Below are 18,688 nucleotides of genomic sequence, written 5' to 3'. Positions count from 1 at the left end.
ACAATGTTTCCGATGAGGATTAATTTAAATGACCACAATCATGATAGAAAAGGCTGATTTATTTTGCCAAATAGAACACCTACACATAACATTACTCACGTAAAAATATATAAAACTTTGCTTTAAAGATTAGTCCCTGGCTGGGTGCGGTGGCTCACATCTGTAATCCCAGCACTTTGGGAGGCCGAGGCGGGCAGATCACCTGAGGTCAGGGGTTTGAGACCAGCCTGGCCAACATGGGTGAAACCTCGTCTCTACTAAAAATACAAAAAATTAGCCAGACATTGTGGTGGGCACCTGTAATCCCAGCTATTCGGGAGGCTGAGGCAGGAGAATCGCTTGAACTCAGGAGGTAGAGGTTGCAGTGAGCCGAGATCGCGCCACGGCACTCCAGCCTGGGCAACAGAGTGAGACTCCATCTCAAAACAAAAACAAAAACACCACCAAAAAAAACAAAAAAATGATTAGTTACCACAGTAGTACTTAAAGGATTAAAATCACAAACATAAGCTCAGCTTACAAAAGCATGAAATTTGAGCTGGTGAAACTATTGCAGATTTGCCAAGGTGAAACCACTAAATTTACTAAATTTAAATTTGGGGAATTTAACTTTGATGGGTTCCTATATAAGCCAGTACTGTTTAAATCAGGAAATGGGGGGAAACACAGGTATATTCTTAGTAAATTAAAACTTTCAAGCTAAGTGTGATGGCGCATGCCTGTAGTCCCAGCTGCCAGGGTGGCTGAGGCAGGAGGTGGCTTAAGCCAGGAGTCTGGGGCTGTAGCCAGCTACCAGCCCACTTGTGAGTAGCCAATGTACTCTGGCCCAAGGAACAAAGCAAGACCCCATCTCAAAAACAAAAACGCCAACAAAAACTTTCATGGCCTTACCTGATCATTCTTACCGGCACAAACAGTCCTCTTCTGAAAAACAAGCATTCAGGTTAAACACCGACAACTCAGTTGTTGACTGTCTAGATACAACAAACGCAGAGTAAACTGCTAGGATGACAGGAGTCTCTGCCAGGGTCATTCATAGTAAAACTTTATTGAACAGAAAACCCAGCAAAGGTTTTCACCTCCGCAAAGTTCCCCTTAGTTTAAAGTAAAGCACTGCATTTTAAAAAGCAATTATACATAAGTCTTTCCTAGAAAAGTCCTGCTAAAACATGTCTAGCAATTTCATTGATTATATAAAGTAGTACACTTAGTGTAATTTAAACATTCCAACAGGAATCAAATCGTACCAGCAGAACCACTTCTGCATCTATGACTTCTATGTACAAACACACATGCAGACACACACATTTGGAAAAGTTCCTCAAGCATAGACATGCAACACCTAAGGCCTTCTACGTACAGTGCTTATTAAACTACATAGAGTATATATTAAAGCTCTTCAGAATAAAGACATGAGAAGCCTTGGGCATTTTTTGTTCACCAATTTGTATCACGGCTTCACGTTTCTGCTTTTGCTTGCTCACAAAAGCATATCATCATCCACACTGTTTTTTAAAAACTCATCATTGCCATGTCCAGGAGAGGCAATCTAGCTGGAGTCAGGTGATCCAGTCCATTCCTGTCAAAGCCTCCAACAGCTACAGCACAAACACCATCAGTTTGCGATGGCTGGGGGGCCTTCTGGAAGAAGAGAGGCAAAGAAAGTCTTGAAGACAAGCCATGCTGTGCTCATAAAGGAGGGGCTGGTCTGCTCGCCATCTAGTACATCCCTGTCTGGAGGGAGGTGGTTGGGGTCTTCAGTTTCAGGATCAGTGCCTTCCTACAGGTAATGAAACAATGAGGTAATGAAACAATGAGAAAACAATTAGGGCTATGATGAACACCAAATAATGTTAGGAAAGGGCAGGGTAAATCCCTGCCCCCTGCCCCATAGGCACAGCAGCAGGCAGCCAGGACCCCAGGGAATGATGCCCTAGGCTGGATAGGGCTGTTTCTCAGGCTTCCACAGCACAACTGTGTTGATGTTGTCATAGTTTTGACTGCTCCTGGCAGCAAATATCAAATGAAACAACTAGATCTGCAACTATTATTATTATTTTTGAGACAGAGTCTCGCTCTGTCACCCAGGCTGGAGTGCAGTGGTGTGATCTTGGCTTACTGCAACCTCCACCTCCCAAGGTCAAGCCATCCTTCCGCCTCAGCCTCCCTAGCAGCTGAGAATACAGGCACGCCCAACTAATTTTTGTAATTTTAGTAGAGACGGGGTGTCACCATGTTGGCCAGGCTGGTCTTAAACTCCTGACCTCAGGTGATCTACCTGCCTCAGCCTCCCAAAGCGCTGGGATTACAGGCGTGAGCCACCACGCCCAGGCTTCAACTATTATTAAACTAGTAGTTAACCACTTCATACCAGTTCTTATGGTATAACACACTGTTACAGACCACTGAACGCTCAAAATAGTGGGTTTAAAAAAATGTTATTTACTTAAGCCAAAATGCAAATTGCCACGTCAAAAATATGTGATAGAATGTGATGGCACATTCGACGTTTTAAAAATAGCTGCTGCTCTAAGAAGAAATGTGAACAAATCATGAAATATTTAGCCCAATAAAATGGTAAACCGCAAGCTGGCAATCTAAAGGTTGAGGATTGGAGAGCCTGGCATATCACGTCAAGCTCGCCTGGGCTTCGTGGGAGGCTCCATACCTGTAAGTTATTGTTGGGGTCCTGATTTACAACGTCAGGAGGAGGACCATCATTTGGGAAGTTCTGAACCGGCCTCGGTCTAAATGGAAACCACCCAACGTGATGCCTTCAAAGGAAGCACATAAAAGTCCATCTTAGCTGATGTCACAGTGAGACTTACTCAAGAATCCAAGGCTCCCCACCTCTAATCACAGCAGCACCCTGATAAGCTCACTGCAAGACCCATCTACAGAGGCATTTGATCACACTGTCTCCCAGACATTCTCACCAGTCTGTAAGGTCCTTGAAGGCAGGGACTGTGTTTTATTCATCATTGCACACCCAGCCATATAAACAGCACCTGGCACATAGTATGCACTCAATAAATGCTTATGACGAACTAAACCTTACCCTTGAAAACCTGAACAGAGCGGGGAGAATGCATATACCTACAAAGCTATAATTATATATAACATAATGACAACCTACATTTGGTCTTTTAAATATATGATTCTAGAGACTACAGAAAATATTAACTAAACGTTTTATTTGAAGAAACCAATTAAATCCCAAGTCTTAAATATAATAAAATATTAACAATGACTAATTGTGGATATTTGAGTGTTCATTATATTCTAATTATTCCTTTTTTATTTTTAAAAGCTAAAATAAAAATCCATTTTTACTATACAGGAAAATTTCTTCTTTTAGTTTCAACCACGAAGACCCATCACTCTAGGCCAGGCTTTCTCAGCTTTGGCACTAGTGACATATTGAGCCAAATATTTACTGTGGGAGTTGTCCTGTGCATTGTAGAAAATTCAGCAGCACTCTTGCTTCTACTAACTAGACGCCAGCAGGACCACTTCCCCTAGATGTGACAACCAAAAATATCTACACATTGCCAAATGTCCCCTGGGGAGAGAGGGTACAAAACCACCCCCAGTTGAGAACTACTGCTTCGGGCCACAGCTAAAACCAAATGTCAGGTATGTGAAGGTTCCCTTGCCTTTCAGGGCCATGCTAACAGTCAGTGCCTGACTTTACCCTGGAAGGCAGCTGTGGTCTGATAAAGGCAAATGTGTTCTCATTCAAAACAAATACAGTTTTCTGTTCCATGCCTCAGTATGGCTACATACTTGTGGTTTGTGAGCCTGGAAGGTAAGGTAGCTTATCTAGAGGACAAGATAATATTCTTATATTAACACAGGATTGATATGTTCTTGGGACCATACAACCAAGCCATGAATTCCTTGTATCGAAAGTGCCAGAATACATACTATTTATTATGTATTTATTCTAAGACAGGGTCTTGCTCTGTCACCCAGGCTGGAGTGCAGTGGTGCGATCTTGGCTCACTGCAACCTCTGCCTCCCCAGTTCAAGCAATTCTCCTGCCTTAGCCACCCAAGTAAATTACAGGCCCGTGCCACCACACCCGGCTAATTTTTTGTATTTTTAGTAGAGACGGGGTTTCACCATATTGGCCAGGATGGTCTCAAACTCCTGGCCTCATGTGATCCTCCTGCCTCGGCCTCCCAAACTGCTGGGATTACAGGTGTGAGCCACTGCGCCCAGCCACAGAGTGATATACTATTTAAACACATCTCCTTCTACAGTAACTGAGACTGCTCAAAAAAGAGCAAAATCTGGCCAGGCGCAGTGGTGGCTCACGCCTGTAATACCAGCACTTTGGGAGGCCAAGGTGGGCAGATCACTTGAGGTCAGGAGTTCGAGACCACCTGGCCAACATGACCAAACCCCGTCTCTACTAGAAATATAAAAATTAGCCAGGCATGGTGGTGGGCGCCTGTAATCCCAACTACCCAGGAGGCTGAGGCAGGAGAATCGCTTGAACCTGGGAAGCGGAGATTGCAGTGATTGTGCCATTGTACTCCAGCCTGAATGACAGAGCGAGACTCCATCTCAAAAAAAACAAGAAACAAAAAGAGCAAAATCTGCTTAGTGTGAACACAGTGTAGTGTAATTTATATTAGAGAAACCATCTGCTTACAGGTACATAACAACGGTGGCCCCCATGACCATGAGGAATCTGCTCAGGGAGGAGTAGAAGTAGAGGATACTGAGAAAAACAGAAAATGTAGCTGCTGAATAGGTCCAATCCAACCAATCTCGATTTATTTCATCATCTTCTTCCACAATAGGGCCACCTTGTGCATTCATCCGCAAATTTTGATTGGCTCCAGGATTAACAACCACTTGAGGAGCAGCATTCTGATTGGCAGGCTGGTTTTCAGCTGGAAACTGGTTGTGAATAGGGGCTGGAGCAGGTGCAGAGACCACAGGTATCTCTTGTGCACTTGGTGGTGGAACAAAAGCCCCTGATGCAGCAGTGGCTGCTAAACTAAAATAAAAACGACAGAGGCAGATACTGTTGAGACCAAAGCACCGTGAAGTCTGTGGCTTATTTACACAGCAGTCTTTTACTGTTAAGAATTTCAAGTAGGTAGATATGCCTTTGATTTTTCTTCAATTTAGTGAAGAACTTCCTTACTAACTATATCTATAAATGCCTTTTCTAAGAAAAGCCACAAGGTGAATTTCACCTGAAATTAAACATCAAGCCCACTGTAAGATTATGGCACAGTAGCAAATTAAAATCCTCACAAAACTTTGAAGATAGCACAAATTGAAAAGAAAGTAACATGTTCTAAATAAAGTCACTAAACTATGTATCAGACAAAAGCACCCTTGTGTCAATACACAAATCAGGTAGCAGCTGTCATTTACACTCTACCCACAGACCAAACAGAGCAGGGCTCTGCAGACTGATGAAAATACACTCATCCCTCCATTCTGAACTTTACAGGTAACATGGATAAAATTCCCTTCAATTCCCGGGAGCCCTGGCCACACCCAGCATGGCGGGAAGGACTCACTATTGCATGTAGTACTGTCGTGCATATATCTGCTGGAACCAGGAAAGCTGAAGCCACCCATAGGGTGTGTAACCGGAGAAACCAGGACCCAGGCCTTGGAATGCCTGCTGGGCAGCTTCAGGCCTATACATAGATTTGAAAAAACACTCATTTTGAGTGGGTTGAGTATGAACAAATGAAAACTAAGTTTAAATTAAAATCAAGAATTCAAATCGAAGAGACAGAAGAATGGAATTTACGGCAGTTACATGGTAAATGACTGTATGACGCACCCATGTACCACAAGCACAGAAGGTACTAAATGACACAGCACTTCTACCACAGTCCCATCCCACAGGAAAACAACAGCCCTTGCCACCTGCTTGCTGAGTGCACAGATATATAAACAACCTTTTTGGGTTAAGTAGATCCCACCTCAGTTTTGACTTGTTGAGTCTCACTGCAGGTCTCAACCCACTGTTCATCTTTTAGAGAGCAGCTCAAAAGCCACATTTCTCCCAGTCTTTCCTGAAGGAAATCTCTCCCATCCTCCCAATATCCACTTCTTCCTCCATCCTCCATCTGAATCTATAGTGAAGTGTGCATGTGGTATCACCTGTGCATGCTTACTGACCACCGGGGGTCCTGTACAGGCTGCTGGGTCCACAGCAATCTCATGAAGGAGATTTTACAAGGGGAACCCAAGTACAGCTCAGGGAAGACAGGGGCTTTGCACAAGGTCACTGAGCTAGTAAGTAGCAGGGCTGGATTTCAGAGCTGGTCTGATGTCAAATGCATGCTTCTTTTTTTTTTTTTTTGAGATGGAGTCTCGCTCTGTTGCCCAGCCTGGAGTGCAATGGCGCAATCTCGGCTCACTGCAAGCTCCACCTCCCGGATTCACACCATTCTCCTGCCTCAGCCTCCCCAGTAGCTGGGACTACGGGCACACGCCACCACACCTGGCTAATTTTTTGTACTTTTAGTACAGACGGGGTTTCACCGTGTTAGCCAGGATGGTCTCAATCTCCTGACCTCGTGATCCGCCCACCTTGGCCTCCCAAAGTGCTGGGATTACAGGTGTGAGCCACCGCGCCCGGCCAAATGCATGCTTCTTTAATCAGGCCACACAGCCCTCAACTTCACAGGGCAGGTGTATGCGAGTCATCTTTGGCTTTGTGCTTCTTACACAGTCAATTTCTTCAGTAGCACATCACAAAATTGAAACCATAATAGAATTGCCCAAAGATCAGAAATTGGTTATGTGGTCATTCCTGCAGGTCAACTCATATCCTTAAGCAAAGTTGTATGTACTGGCTGTTCAATAAATATTTGTTAAAGGAAATCAAGTTTAAATATGGTGAGATTCAGAGAGTCAAATATGAGCCTCAATTCTCAAGTTAAGAATAGTTGAATCAGAATAAGGGAAGTAGTTTTAAGTTTTTCTAACCAATAATTTTCTATCCAATAATTATCCAATTTATATGCTGACAATCTTTTAACTAAATTCCATACACAGAGTATTTCTAAAATAGTATTCCAATACAAGTAAGCTTTGGTATGATGCTGTTTTTGATCATTTAAGAAAATTACAGTGCATGGAAATAAAATGATAAAGTGCTTTTAAGATTTCTGTTAGATCTGATAATGGCATTCTAGATATACAAGATAACTAAAAGGTTTTCATAGTTATATACTGAAGAATATAGGGATGAAATAACATGATGCCTGGGAATTACTTTTAAATACTCTTTTTTTAAAAAAAAGGGAAAGGGTAATAGATGAGCTATGGTAAAACTCTGATTGTTATTTATTAGGCCTGGGTGATGGTGTGGGGATTAATTATCCAGTCCCCACTGTTGTGTATATTTGAAAGTTCCATTAAGGGGGAAAAGGAAGAAAAACTCATTCCTAAAACACCTGGCTTTATAAAATATTGTGTATAAAAAGTACTAGAAAAAGGGGGACGGAGAATTGGAGAGTTACAGAATTGCAACTTGCAGTTAATGAATTTTTCCCCAAAAACAATGTATTCCAAGAGCTATAAAAATCCAAATAACAGAGCATTTAGTTCTGACTTTTGCTCTAAAGAAAAGCTTTAATAGTTATAAGAAATTGGCCAATTTTCCTAGTACCCCCAAGTCTTTGGAAGGACACTTCTTAAACAGTCTCTCCCTTGTTGTCACCCATTGTTACAATAAAGCACAAAGCCACTCAGCAAAGCAGCTGCACAATGCTTACGACAGCTGTTTTCTCCTGCAGCAGCACTAATTTCCTATCATGACGGCAACCAAGCGGTCAGCACAATGGAAGGATAAAACGCCTACATTTTCTTTTTTTTTTCAATATATGCATTACCTACTTTTTAAATTTGTGTGTACTAAAAGGCTGTGTATTAAGAAAAGTTAAATATATAAGAGATCTTTAAAGCGAAGCTATTTATAAAGCAAAATTCTGTATGTTTAAAAGTTCTGATTATATACGTGTAAACATACCTTATTCTTAAATTGATGCAAACGAGGAACATTCATGTTGCATAAGCCAAGATCTTTATTATAACACTCACCTTGAGATGTTTTCCCATCCAGGGGAAGAAAGGTTCCGAAGAACTTCCCTTTGCCTTAAACCATCACTTGAGGAATCCTCAGGATACTGTCCCCGATTAGAACCAGCAGGCTCCTCTGTGGATTCAGCCACCTAAATAAGTGTAACATGAACACAGAACAAAGGAGCTGATGCAACTGTCTGAAATCAAGCAAAAGGAATTATTTTGCTGTCAAGGGCTTACATCTCCTACCCCCCACCTCTGAACGTGACAAAATTAAACAGAAGCAACGTTATGTAAAAAATAGTCTGACATTTATTCAACATAATTTTCAATACATAGATGCTAAAATATTCATATTTTTTCCCTAGAGTATGCTACACTTTCATTAAAATCTTCCAATGAAGTTGTCATTGGTGAGAAAGCTTCCTGATAATGGTGCTAAATTTACTCATTGCAGACATCTGACCAACAAGATTTATAAATACAACCCAGCCCACAACTTTCTAAAATAGTATTCCAATATAAGTAAGCCTTGGTATGATACTGTTTTTGATCATTTAAAAAAATTACAGTGCAGGGAAATGAAATGATAAAGTGCTTTTAAGATTTTTGTTAGAACTGATAATGGCAAAATAGGGAATTTCCTATGCTCTGTTCAGATGTTCTAGGAAATATAATGCAAATTTAGAGTGCATCACTACATTAGAATACTAATACCATATATGTGAATAAACATTGTGAAATGAAAAATAAATGGTTTCGTGTGTCATATATGTCTTTAGAGCCAGGTCTAGTGGCACATGCCTGTAGTCCCAGCTACTCAGGAGGCTGAGGTGGGAGGATCGCTTGCCCTCAGGAGTTTGAGAAAAGCCTGGGCCACACAGCGAGACCATTTTTAAAAAAAAAAAATTCTTTAAAGATCACTTGATAAAAACTCTGATCTTTTCCTATCCAACTAATCACAATGAAAATTTCCAAAGGAAATATATTCACTTTTGTACTCTTTATAAAAATTAGTGACTCCTTTGAAGAAACTTGCTATGTGCTAAATTCAATAAAAACCCGATTAGTGTTAGTTCAGTAATCTAGATACACAGTAACCATAGATCAAATCATATCCCATAAGATAGTGCAATATGTAACTCCACCTTTCTACTACAGCACTAACGGAACAATCTGCTACTATTAACTCATCACTTTGTGTTGATAATACAGTTTCTAATTCCTAGGAAAGAAACAAAATATTACTTGGTAATAACACCATACAGTCTCTCAATAAACGTTTTATCCAACTTCTTTTATTACTCCCCTGAAAGTCTGAATGATACAAATTGTTACCATCATGAAGAGGCAGACACACCTTGGCGTTGATTTCTGGCATTTTTGAAGGACTCTTCACATTGCACACCAGATGCAAAACATGCCGTTTTTCCTGCTAAAAGTAATACGAAGGTACTTAAGGACCTGAACCTAACCTGGTGAGTGCTTAAAAACATTCAGAAGTTAATGTGTAAGTGATGTACCTTTGGAAGCAAGTCCCTGAGACATTGGTGATCCAACAACAGCTTCCCAGAATAAATTAACCTCTGGTCCTCTGGACGCTGATCATGGAAAGAAAGAGTAACACAGGTCAGCATTTCACCCCTACAAGTTCCTAAACACAGAATAAACTGTTTTATACAAGTAATTTGAATATGTGTGTTTCCCCCCAGCATCACGGGAAAACACTTTCTCAAAAGCCCCATATACAAGACTTCTATTTAGAAAGTGTCTTAACTTTAACTGGTCTCTAACACGCAAATAAATACAGAATGGCAAATTATCGGCTGGGCATGGTGGCTCATGCCTGTAATCCAAGCACTGTGGGAGGCCAAGGCGGGCAGATCACCTGAGGTCAGGGGTTCGAGACCAGCCTGGCCAACATGGTGAAACCCCATCTCTACTAAAAATGCAAAAATTAGCTGGGCGTGGTGGCTTGTGCCTGTAACCCAAACTACTCAGGAGGCTGAGGCAGGGGAATCGCTTGAACCAGGGAGGCAGAGGTTGCAGTGAGCCAAGATCATGTCACTGCACTCCAGCCTGGGCGACAGAGTGAGACCCTATCTCAAAAAAAAAAAAAAAAAAAAAAAAAAAGAATGGCAAATTATCTCCAGTCCAAACTTAACTCCCAGGTAAACTGACTGACTCCTATTACTAAAAGCAACAAACAGCAAACAGGGAACCTACAACCAAATTGAGTTTGGTTTCAGAGAAAACTCAGAGAACTCCCAAGGCCAGCCTTAACCAAAATCACCCAGCAGTGCCCCAAAATAATATGAAGCTATTCTAAACTGAAGCCTTCACAGACAATTTCCTGGCATACAAATGCAGTTATAGAGGAGATGGCGTGTGGGTGACATTATACACAACCACCCTGTGAGATTTAGTATCCCTATTTTAAGGGAGGAAAGTCTGAAAAACTGACTTGTCCAAGGTCATCTGCTGCCACAGTGTCACAATTCCAACCCCTCTTCTCCTCCATATCAGTGATTTTAACACCATAGGGACTGCACACTCTTTTATACAAATCTCATTTTTAAAATCTATTTGAAACTCCGTCTAAATTGTACTTAAAAATAATGGCCTCAAATAATATTAACATATAATCTGTCTATTGGAGATCACTAACGTGTTAATCTACTCTTGCCAGAATAACTGATTATGCGAAACCTGGAATAAAGGTGTTCCTGCCAAGTAGCTTGAGATAATTAAAGCAAGCTGTTTAAACAAACAAAACAGCAAAAAGTGCATCTACTTATCCATATACATCAGAACTTTTTGACACTGTGTAACTAAACCAAAATAAATATACTGAATGCTGTGTTCACCGTTTTTCTGACGGATGAGAACTTTAAAGGTAAATGCTAATACATACGTGAATTTGGAAAACAGTACCTTTTGTATATGTAGGGTCCTGCATTTATTACAGAGTTCAACCAATAGAAAAGGCCGGAAAACCACAGCTGCCAGTGGTTTTGAATTATTTTCCCCCTTTTAAAGGCCTAACTTGATATTGAGTCTTCACACAGATGGCTGATTTGAAAAATATTAAGTAAAGCAAACAACTATTACAAAGTAGGCCTTCTCATATTATGCCATTTTCTACTACAGAAAACAAATGATAAGTATGTTTCAGCCATAATAATTTTTAGACACAAATTTGTATACCTGAGAGGTATTTGTTTACAATGTTAGGTCTTCAGACTGAACAGATGGGAGCGGCATTCCTCATCAAAGGAAGACCTTAAAAATCCTCCGCCAAAATCCTGCCTTTTGCCATATGATGCAACCATAGGCTACACCTGCTTCACCAATTTGTGTACCCAATAGTCATTCTCATGGCAACACAGCCACCCAGTTTCTTGGAAGCAGCTATGGTGAAACTGAAAAATGTGCCAGGGTGAATTCTAGAGGACATGGAATGCAAGCTTACTAAATAAATATGCAAATTTCAAAATAACAACTCAGAAGGAAAACTCACTTCTAAAACATTCTTGACCATATGAAACAAAAACAGACACAGGCGCTACCACAAGCTGGAACTCACGACTTCACTATCTTTTCCTGCCCGGATGCCCTCTCCTGTGTGATGAAGAATTATGCTCGTGGGCAGTGAAGAACACTGCTGACACTTACATAATATCAGAGCAGAAAGTAAATACAGGAAGGGCCAGCTTACAGCCTCATCACGTGGTGGCCAGGGCAGGCGGTGCTAAGGGTGATGTTGACAGATGTGTCAACCAAAACAAAGCAAGGAAGTCTTGCTAATAATGGAGAGGCTGCCGTCCTAAAACCAGACTGAAGGCGACTCCTGCCTGCTTCCCTTCTCAGTCGCTCTTGGTCAGAAAGTGCACGGGGCTCCACCCCGGGACTCGGCAATGGCTGCTCGGTCCAGTGCGACAGGGAGGGGCACGGCGGAAGGTGGCCAGGGAGGAGAAGAGCCACGTCCTGCTTCTGGGTGTGGGGCCTTCCGTCCACAGTGTCTGGGCGGTCCCCAGGTTTCTCAAGCCACGGCCCCGGGTGGCACCTGCCCGCTCCTCTCCCTGCAGAGAGGCTGCGTTCAGAAACCTCATTTTGCAGCACGGATGTTTTCTTACTTCTAGCCATTGGATGCAAGCCCAATTAGGAACACCGAGTTGCCTGGCCGCTGGGGGAGAAACAGGCTTGGAGGGTGAAATGACTCGCCCAAGGTCAGGCTGCTGATTACTGACGGCTACTGGGCAACAGAGGGGCGCCCGCGTCGGCGGGGCAGGGAAGGGGAGACCACAGCCCTGGGGGAGGTGACCGGCCGAGCGATCGCAGCCGTCAGCGGGAGGAGGCCACAGGACAGGGCAGCCGGACGTGGCATCCCCAGCAGAGGGCGGGGGGCCACAGCCTAGGGGCGGGAAGTCGGGGCCGCTCTCACCGGACGCTCGGGGTAGACGCGGCTCAGGTGGGCCTTGAGGTGGCCCACACTCCAGCCGCGGTCGCCACTCAGCTCCAAGTCGCGGTGGCGCTGGTTGGGGCTCTTCACCAGGAGCGTGACGGGCTCGGGTTCGGTCTCGGACTCCATGGCGGCGGCGGCGGTGTCGGGGCTCCGCTGCGCTCCTAGGTGCCAGGCAGGCGGCGTCTCAGCCGCCCGCAATCTCTGCAACGACAGTTCACGTCTCTGGGGCGCGCGCCCCCGCTTCGGGCGCCTTTTATAGAAGCCCCGCGCCCGGCTCTGCGGACAGAACGCTCTGTGGCTGCCGCCCATTGGCTGAGGCGGAGGCACTCTCCCAACGTGGCCCAATCGGCGTCCGGATCCGGGTGGCAGAGGGCGGACCGAGCACGTGGGCACGGGCTGATGCAACCCGCCGCGTCTGCGTCACCCAGAGGCGCGGCTGTGCCCCGGGAACCCGGGTTCGGTGGCCATGTTTGGGTGCGCTGCAGGCCGCGCGGGGAGCTTGGTCTGAGACCTGCGAGGCCCCCAGCTCGGGTGGCTGAGGGCGCCCGAGGCAGGGGGTGGGGAGTGGGGTATCCTAGCAGACCCCAGTTTAGCAGTCTCTGCAAATTCTTTCCTCACAAAGCCGCACCCCCACCCTTTTTCACCCCAGGTGTCAGTGCCCACTTCCCCTTTTCCTGCCTCTGTGGCCCCACGTGGAAACCTACGGGGAAGCCCGTCCTACAGGGGAAGCCTACCCACTCGAACCCTCAAAGAACGGCTGGGCGACCCCGAGTGCAAGCCCACCTAGGAGAACTCCACGTGCTCCTAAGAAAGACAACGAAGGAGCAAGGCCAGATTTTCCTTGGGCTGGGAGGATGGAGGCATCCAGGCAGCTGTTGCCAATTTCCCTGGGCCTCAGACTTGAACGTTTGGGACATCACCCTAATGATGATTGACAAGTCAGCCACAGTCCTGCTCACACTGGAGTCCCCCTCAAAACGCGTCACTTTATAAGATACTCACACATGCACCCGTTAAATTGGGGCTGAGACGAGGAGGGCGGGGTTCTCCGATTCCTGAAGTGGGACCATAAAGGCCTCTTTATTGTAGGCGTTCCCTCCTCCTCCTCTGTAGGAAAAAAAAAAAAAAAAAAAAAGGCTTGAAAAACAAAACTGACATTGCCCCGGCTCCCTCCTTGTTCCAACCCCCTTGGGACATCTGTTTTTTCAGGTGTTGTCAGGAGCTTGTCAAGGTCAGGAAGGTAACAGGAGGAGCCTGGTCTGGTTGGTGGGTATATTCATCTGCTGCAGCTGCCATAACAAAGTGCCACAAACTGGATGGCTTAAGACGGGGTCCCCAACCCCCCTGGGCCACGGACCACTATGAGTCCCTGGCCTATTAGGAACCAGGCGGCACCGCAGGAGGTGAGCCACCAGCGAAGCTTCATCTGTATTTACAGCTGCTCCCTATCGCTGCATTACCACCTGAGCTCAGCCTCCTGTTAGATCAGGGGGCATTAGATCCTCACAGGAGCCGAACCCTATTGTGAACTGTGCACGCAAGGGAACTAGGCTGTGCTCCTTACGAGAATCGAATGCCTGATGATGGGAGGTGGAGCTGAGTTGCTGATGCTAGTGCTGAGAGTGGCTGCAAATACGGATTAACATTAGCAGAGAGGTTTCACTGCACAGAGGCCATCATAAATCAATTGCTTGCAGACTCATATCAAAACACTATCAGTGAGTGGCAAGTGACAAGCTGCATCTGGTGGCAGGCTTTACAATGGCAAGTGTATGTACTTCAGTTGTACAGCTGCATCTGGTGGCCTTAAAAGTATGTTTGAGGCTGGGCGAGGTGGCTCACGCCTGTAATCCCAACATTCTGGGAGGCCGAGGCAGGTGGATCACAAGGTCAGGAGTTCCAGACCAGCATGACCAACATGGTGAAACCCCGTCTCTCCTAAAAAATACAAAAATTAGCCGGGCATGGTGGCACGTGCCTGTAATCCCAGCTACTCAGGAGGCTGAGGCAGGAAAGTTGCTTGAACCCGGGAGGTGGAGGTTGCAGTGAGCCGAGATTGTGCCATCGCACTCCAGCCTGGGCAACAGAGCGAGACTCCGTCTCAAAAAAAAAAAAACAAAAACACAACAACAACAACAACAAAAAAACAGTATGTTTGAGACAACTTCAAATCTCCACGTTCTGGGTTAAAGTCTAGGCTTTAATCCTGAGATGGCCACAAAAACACTGAAAAGCCTGCTTTCATTTCCAACATCCTTTTTTTTTTTGAGACAGGGTCTCACTCTGTCGCCCAGGCTGAAGTGCAATGGCACGTTCTCGGCTCACTGCAACCTCCGCCTCTCTGGTTTAAGCCATTCTTGTGCCTCATGCCTCCGCCTACCAAGTAGCTAGGATTACAAGAGTGCACCACCACACTTGGCTATATATATAATTTTTATTATTTTTAGTAGAGACAGATGGGGTTGTGCTATATTGGCCAGGCTGGTCTTGAACTCCTCGCCTCAAGTGATCCAGCTGCCTTGGCCTCCAAAAGTGCTAGCAGTACAGATGTGAGCCTCCATGCCTGGCCTATTGCAACATCCCATCTCTGTGAAGCAGGGTTTTCTGCAGTGACAGCAGCCAAAATGGGTAGACTTGACATAAGCACCATACTTCGGGTGTCACTGTCTCCTATCACCCACAGATGAGACCATCTAGTTGTAGGAAAACAAGCTCAGGGCTCCCACTGATTCTACACCATGGTGAGTAGTATAATTATTTCATTATATATTACAATGTAATAATAATAGAAATAAAGTGCACAATAAATGTAATGTGCTCGAATCATCCTGAAACAATGCCCCCCCCACCCCACCTCTGGCCTGTGGAAAAACTGTCTTCCACAAAACTGGTCCCTAGTGTCAAAAAGGTTGGGAACTCCTGGCTTAAGAAACAGAAATTTATTGTCTTGGTTCTGGAAACTGGAAGTCTGAGATCAAGGTGTCGGCAGGGTTGGTTCCTTCTGAGGCCTCGGGGGAGAATCTTCCAGGCCCCTCTCCTATCCTGGTGGTTTGCTGGCACTTTTTTTTTTTTTGAGACGGAGTCTCGCTCTGTCGCCTGGGCTGGAGTGCAGTGGCATGATCTCGGCTCATTGCAAGCTCTGCCTCCCGGGTTCACACCATTCTCCTGCCTCAGCCTCCCAAGTAGCTGGGACTACAGGTGCCCGCCACCACGCCTGGCTAATTTTTTGTATTTTTAAGTAAGGACAGGGTTTCACCGTTTGCCAGAATGGTCTCGATCTCCTGACTTTGTGATCCACCCGCCTCGGCCTCCCAACATACTGGGATTACAGGCGTGAGCCACGGCGCCTGGCCGATTTTTTTTTTTTTTTTTTTTTGAGACAGAGTCTCGCTCTGATGCACAGGCCAGAGTGCAGTGGCACAATCTTGGCTCACTGCAACCTCTACCTCCCAGGTTCAAGCAATTCTCCTGCCTCAGCCTCCTGAGTAGCTGGAACTACTGGCGCCCACCACCACACTTGGCTAATTTTTGTATTTTTAGTAGAGATGGGGTTTCACCATGTTGACCAGGCTGGTCTCAAACTCCTGACTTCATGATCCGTCCACCTCGGCCTCCCAAAGTGCTGGGATTACAGGCGTGAGCCACCGCCCCCGGCCTGCTGGCACTCTTTGACGTTCCTTGGCATATAGAAGCATCACCCCAACCTGTCTTCATCTTCTCATGGGTTCTCCTTTTGTAGGTCTCTTCACATCATCTTCCCTGTGTGCATGTCTGGCTCTGTGTCCACATTTCTTTTTTCCATAAGAGTACCAGTCATCATGGATTGGGACCCACACTAATAACCTCATCTTAACTCCATCATCTGCAAAGGCCCTATTTCCCAATGCTGCCACATTCACAGGTACTGGTGGTTAGGGCTTCAGCATCTCTTTGGAGGACTCAATTCAGTCCACAATAGTCAATCTTAATATAACACACAATACAGGGTGATTTCTTTCTCAGCTGTCTTTATATTAAGATGAGAGGTTGAGGGCTTTGGAAATAAATTGTCCCCACACTCAGCTTTCTGCAAGTGGTTTTGGTCGGCTGAGAAGGCTCTGACCTTTTTTTCTTTTTTGAGACGGAGTCGTGCTCTGTTGCCCAGGCTGGAGTGCAGTGGCATGATCTCCGCTCACTGCAACTCCACCTCCCAGGTTCAAGCAATTATCCTGCCTCAGCCTCCCAAGTAGCTGGGATTACAGGTGCCCACCACCAAGCCAAGCTAGTTTTTGTATTTTTAGTAGAGACAGGGTTTCACCATGTTGGCCAGCCTGGTCTCGAACTCCTGGCTTCAAATGATCCACCTGCCTCGGCCTCCCAAAGTGCTGGGATTACAGGTGCGAGCCACCACCTGGCCTAACCCTTTTTTCATCAAAGCTGGCTTCATGGGTGTGGGACCCATGTAGTGGATGGGGCCCCATGCTTGGTTTAATGCTCTGCTATTATCTTTAAATTCTTAATAAATTTTAAACAGAAGCCTTGCATTTTCATTTTGCACTGGGTCCCACAAATTCTGTAGCTTTTCACACATCAGGATGGGAGATAATAACTGATTATGATCTGGTAGTCTTGCAACTAGGGAGAAGCTAACCAGTGGAGCAAGCCCAGGTAAAACCAACATAGGCATTAAAGGAGGCAGCAAGGCAGGAGGTGACAGCTGCATTGAGAAATCAAATATGCCAGTAGTGTGGTTTCCCCTCACCTGCAGTGACAAGCCTCAGGGCCCCTTAAGACGTTAAGATATCTTATCCCTTTCCACTCAGAAGAAAGAAAGTTTAGGAGTGTGATTTTGCATTTTCTTCCCCTAGGGAAAAGGCAATCTAATTTCTGTGATTCTCTCTTGAGTTATCGCCTGGTGAGATAGCTCCTTTTAAAGAAATTTGGGGACAGGAGTGGTGGTTCATGCCTATAATCCCAGCACTTTGGGAGACCAAGGCAAGCAGATAACCTCAGGCCAGGAGTTCGAGACCAGCCTGGCCAACATAGTGAAAAATCATCATCTCTACTAAAAATAGAAAAAAAATAGTCAGGCGTGGTGGCGGGCACCTGTAATCCCAGCTACTGGGGTGGTTGAGGCAGGAGAATCGCTTGAACCTGGGAGGCGGTGGCTGCAGTGAGCTGAGATCGCGCCACTGCACTCCAGTCTGGGAGACAGCGCGAGACTCAGTCTCAAATTAAAAAAAAAAAAAAAAGAAGAGAGAAATTCGGTGATTCTGCTTATAGCACATTTAGGAAAATGTTAAATACAGGTCAACGAATGTGCCAGGAATAGAAAGATAAACACAGCATGACCCTATTCTCAATGACTTTACAAATATAATGAGGATGCTAACAAAAAACACAGAAATAAAAGACTATCCCAAAGTCGAATACATTTCTGAAGGACTTATGATTACATTGAGAAAAGAAGAGAGGGAGTCAGAGAAAACTTGATGGAAGAGGTAGAATTTGAGCTGAATTCCGAAGGATGGGTGAGATTTGAATGAAAGTAATAATGGCAGCAATTACTGACTAAACACCATGGAGTGCCAGTGACTTTATACGCAGAATTTGTATGGGCAGGTAGAGCTCAGTGGTTAAACTCATGGGGCCACGGCCCAAATTAGGAAAATTAGGAATAATAACAGTATCTTCTGTTTCATAGGGTTTTTGTGAGGCTTAAATAGCACAAGTTGTCAAAGTTCTTGGGACAAACCCAGACATTTACTACGTGCTCAATCAATGTTAGCCATTAATATTTAGAGGACTGGACTGAGTCCAGTACAGTGGTTCCCAAATCTGACTGCAACAAAATCACTCCAGGAACATTTTTTTTTTTTTTTTGAGATGGAGTCTTGCTCTTGTCACCCAGGCTGGAGTGCAGTGGCGTGATCTTGGCTCACTGCAACCTCCGCCTCCTGGGTTCCAGCGATTCTCCTGCCTCTGCCTCCCAAGTAGCTGGGATTACGCCTGCCACCATGCCCAGCTAATTTTTTTTGTATTTTTAACAGAGACAGCGTTTCTCCATGTTGGTCAGGCTGGTCTTGAACTCCTGACATCAGGTGATCTGCCTGCCTTGGCCTCCCAAAGTGCTGGGATTGTAGGCGTGAGCCACCGCGCCTGGCCAGGATATAT

The 18,688-nt window shown here is 45.1% G+C and overlaps 1 protein-coding gene across 14 annotated transcripts, besides 12 other annotated features; it reads right to left on the bottom strand.

Annotated features, from left to right (window-relative positions):
* Window positions 1–41: 41 nt before the first annotated feature.
* Window positions 42–12,764, bottom strand: HERPUD1 (homocysteine inducible ER protein with ubiquitin like domain 1). 14 transcript variants are annotated; one of them, NM_001436354.1, is made up of 9 exons: window positions 12,515–12,764; window positions 11,746–12,152; window positions 9,594–9,671; window positions 9,431–9,505; window positions 8,089–8,219; window positions 5,547–5,669; window positions 4,661–5,011; window positions 2,669–2,774; window positions 42–1,780 (listed from the first exon to the last, which is right to left on the bottom strand). In NM_001436354.1, the coding sequence occupies exons 4-9, from the start codon at window positions 9,449–9,451 to the stop codon at window positions 1,616–1,618; spliced, it is 897 nt and encodes a 298-aa protein (NP_001423283.1). In that variant the 5' UTR covers window positions 9,452–9,505; window positions 9,594–9,671; window positions 11,746–12,152; window positions 12,515–12,764; the 3' UTR covers window positions 42–1,615. The 14 variants fall into 14 exon arrangements, 11 of the variants coding, with proteins under 11 accessions (NP_001423283.1, NP_001423280.1, NP_001423282.1 ...); NR_199163.1 differs by lacking the exon at window positions 11,746–12,152 and having other exon boundaries at window positions 2,669–4,040; window positions 4,505–5,011; NR_199165.1 differs by lacking the exon at window positions 11,746–12,152 and having other exon boundaries at window positions 2,669–4,040; window positions 4,505–5,011; window positions 9,431–9,502.
* Window positions 2,755–2,804: a silencer, noted in NCBI's record as "silent region_7518". NCBI's record gives its function as "represses an Ori minimal core promoter by ATAC-STARR-seq in GM12878 lymphoblastoid cells {active_cell/tissue: GM12878}" and the evidence as "EXISTENCE:reporter gene assay evidence [ECO:0000049][PMID:35858748]".
* Window positions 3,461–3,530: a silencer, noted in NCBI's record as "silent region_7517". NCBI's record gives its function as "represses an Ori minimal core promoter by ATAC-STARR-seq in GM12878 lymphoblastoid cells {active_cell/tissue: GM12878}" and the evidence as "EXISTENCE:reporter gene assay evidence [ECO:0000049][PMID:35858748]".
* Window positions 5,558–5,667: a silencer, noted in NCBI's record as "silent region_7516". NCBI's record gives its function as "represses an Ori minimal core promoter by ATAC-STARR-seq in GM12878 lymphoblastoid cells {active_cell/tissue: GM12878}" and the evidence as "EXISTENCE:reporter gene assay evidence [ECO:0000049][PMID:35858748]".
* Window positions 5,998–6,357: an enhancer, noted in NCBI's record as "active region_10862". NCBI's record gives its function as "activates an Ori minimal core promoter by ATAC-STARR-seq in GM12878 lymphoblastoid cells {active_cell/tissue: GM12878}" and the evidence as "EXISTENCE:reporter gene assay evidence [ECO:0000049][PMID:35858748]".
* Window positions 11,735–12,029: an enhancer, noted in NCBI's record as "tiled region #13851; HepG2 Activating non-DNase unmatched - State 1:Tss, and K562 Activating DNase unmatched - State 1:Tss". NCBI's record gives its function as "activates a minimal TATA promoter and a strong SV40 promoter by Sharpr-MPRA in HepG2 and K562 cells {active_cell/tissue: HepG2 | K562}" and the evidence as "EXISTENCE:reporter gene assay evidence [ECO:0000049][PMID:27701403]".
* Window positions 11,843–11,892: an enhancer, noted in NCBI's record as "active region_10861". NCBI's record gives its function as "activates an Ori minimal core promoter by ATAC-STARR-seq in GM12878 lymphoblastoid cells {active_cell/tissue: GM12878}" and the evidence as "EXISTENCE:reporter gene assay evidence [ECO:0000049][PMID:35858748]".
* Window positions 12,143–12,192: an enhancer, noted in NCBI's record as "active region_10860". NCBI's record gives its function as "activates an Ori minimal core promoter by ATAC-STARR-seq in GM12878 lymphoblastoid cells {active_cell/tissue: GM12878}" and the evidence as "EXISTENCE:reporter gene assay evidence [ECO:0000049][PMID:35858748]".
* Window positions 12,143–12,732: a biological region, named in NCBI's record as "NANOG-H3K27ac-H3K4me1 hESC enhancer GRCh37_chr16:56966101-56966655".
* Window positions 12,163–12,717: an enhancer, noted in NCBI's record as "NANOG-H3K27ac-H3K4me1 hESC enhancer chr16:56966101-56966655 (GRCh37/hg19 assembly coordinates)". NCBI's record gives its function as "activates a minimal SCP1, AML or CMV promoter by ChIP-STARR-seq in primed H9 embryonic stem cells {active_cell/tissue: H9 hESC(primed)}" and the evidence as "EXISTENCE:reporter gene assay evidence [ECO:0000049][PMID:30033119]".
* Window positions 12,613–12,732: an enhancer, noted in NCBI's record as "active region_10859". NCBI's record gives its function as "activates an Ori minimal core promoter by ATAC-STARR-seq in GM12878 lymphoblastoid cells {active_cell/tissue: GM12878}" and the evidence as "EXISTENCE:reporter gene assay evidence [ECO:0000049][PMID:35858748]".
* Window positions 12,718–13,272: an enhancer, noted in NCBI's record as "NANOG-H3K27ac-H3K4me1 hESC enhancer chr16:56965546-56966100 (GRCh37/hg19 assembly coordinates)". NCBI's record gives its function as "activates a minimal SCP1, AML or CMV promoter by ChIP-STARR-seq in primed H9 embryonic stem cells {active_cell/tissue: H9 hESC(primed)}" and the evidence as "EXISTENCE:reporter gene assay evidence [ECO:0000049][PMID:30033119]".
* Window positions 13,063–13,112: a silencer, noted in NCBI's record as "silent region_7515". NCBI's record gives its function as "represses an Ori minimal core promoter by ATAC-STARR-seq in GM12878 lymphoblastoid cells {active_cell/tissue: GM12878}" and the evidence as "EXISTENCE:reporter gene assay evidence [ECO:0000049][PMID:35858748]".

The sequence above is a fragment of the Homo sapiens genome, chromosome 16 (genome assembly GCF_000001405.40).
Source record: "Homo sapiens chromosome 16, GRCh38.p14 Primary Assembly".
Taxonomy (NCBI): domain Eukaryota; kingdom Metazoa; phylum Chordata; class Mammalia; order Primates; family Hominidae; genus Homo; species Homo sapiens.
Note: the sequence above shows the minus strand (reverse complement) of the source record. Positions and strands in the feature narration are given on the sequence as shown.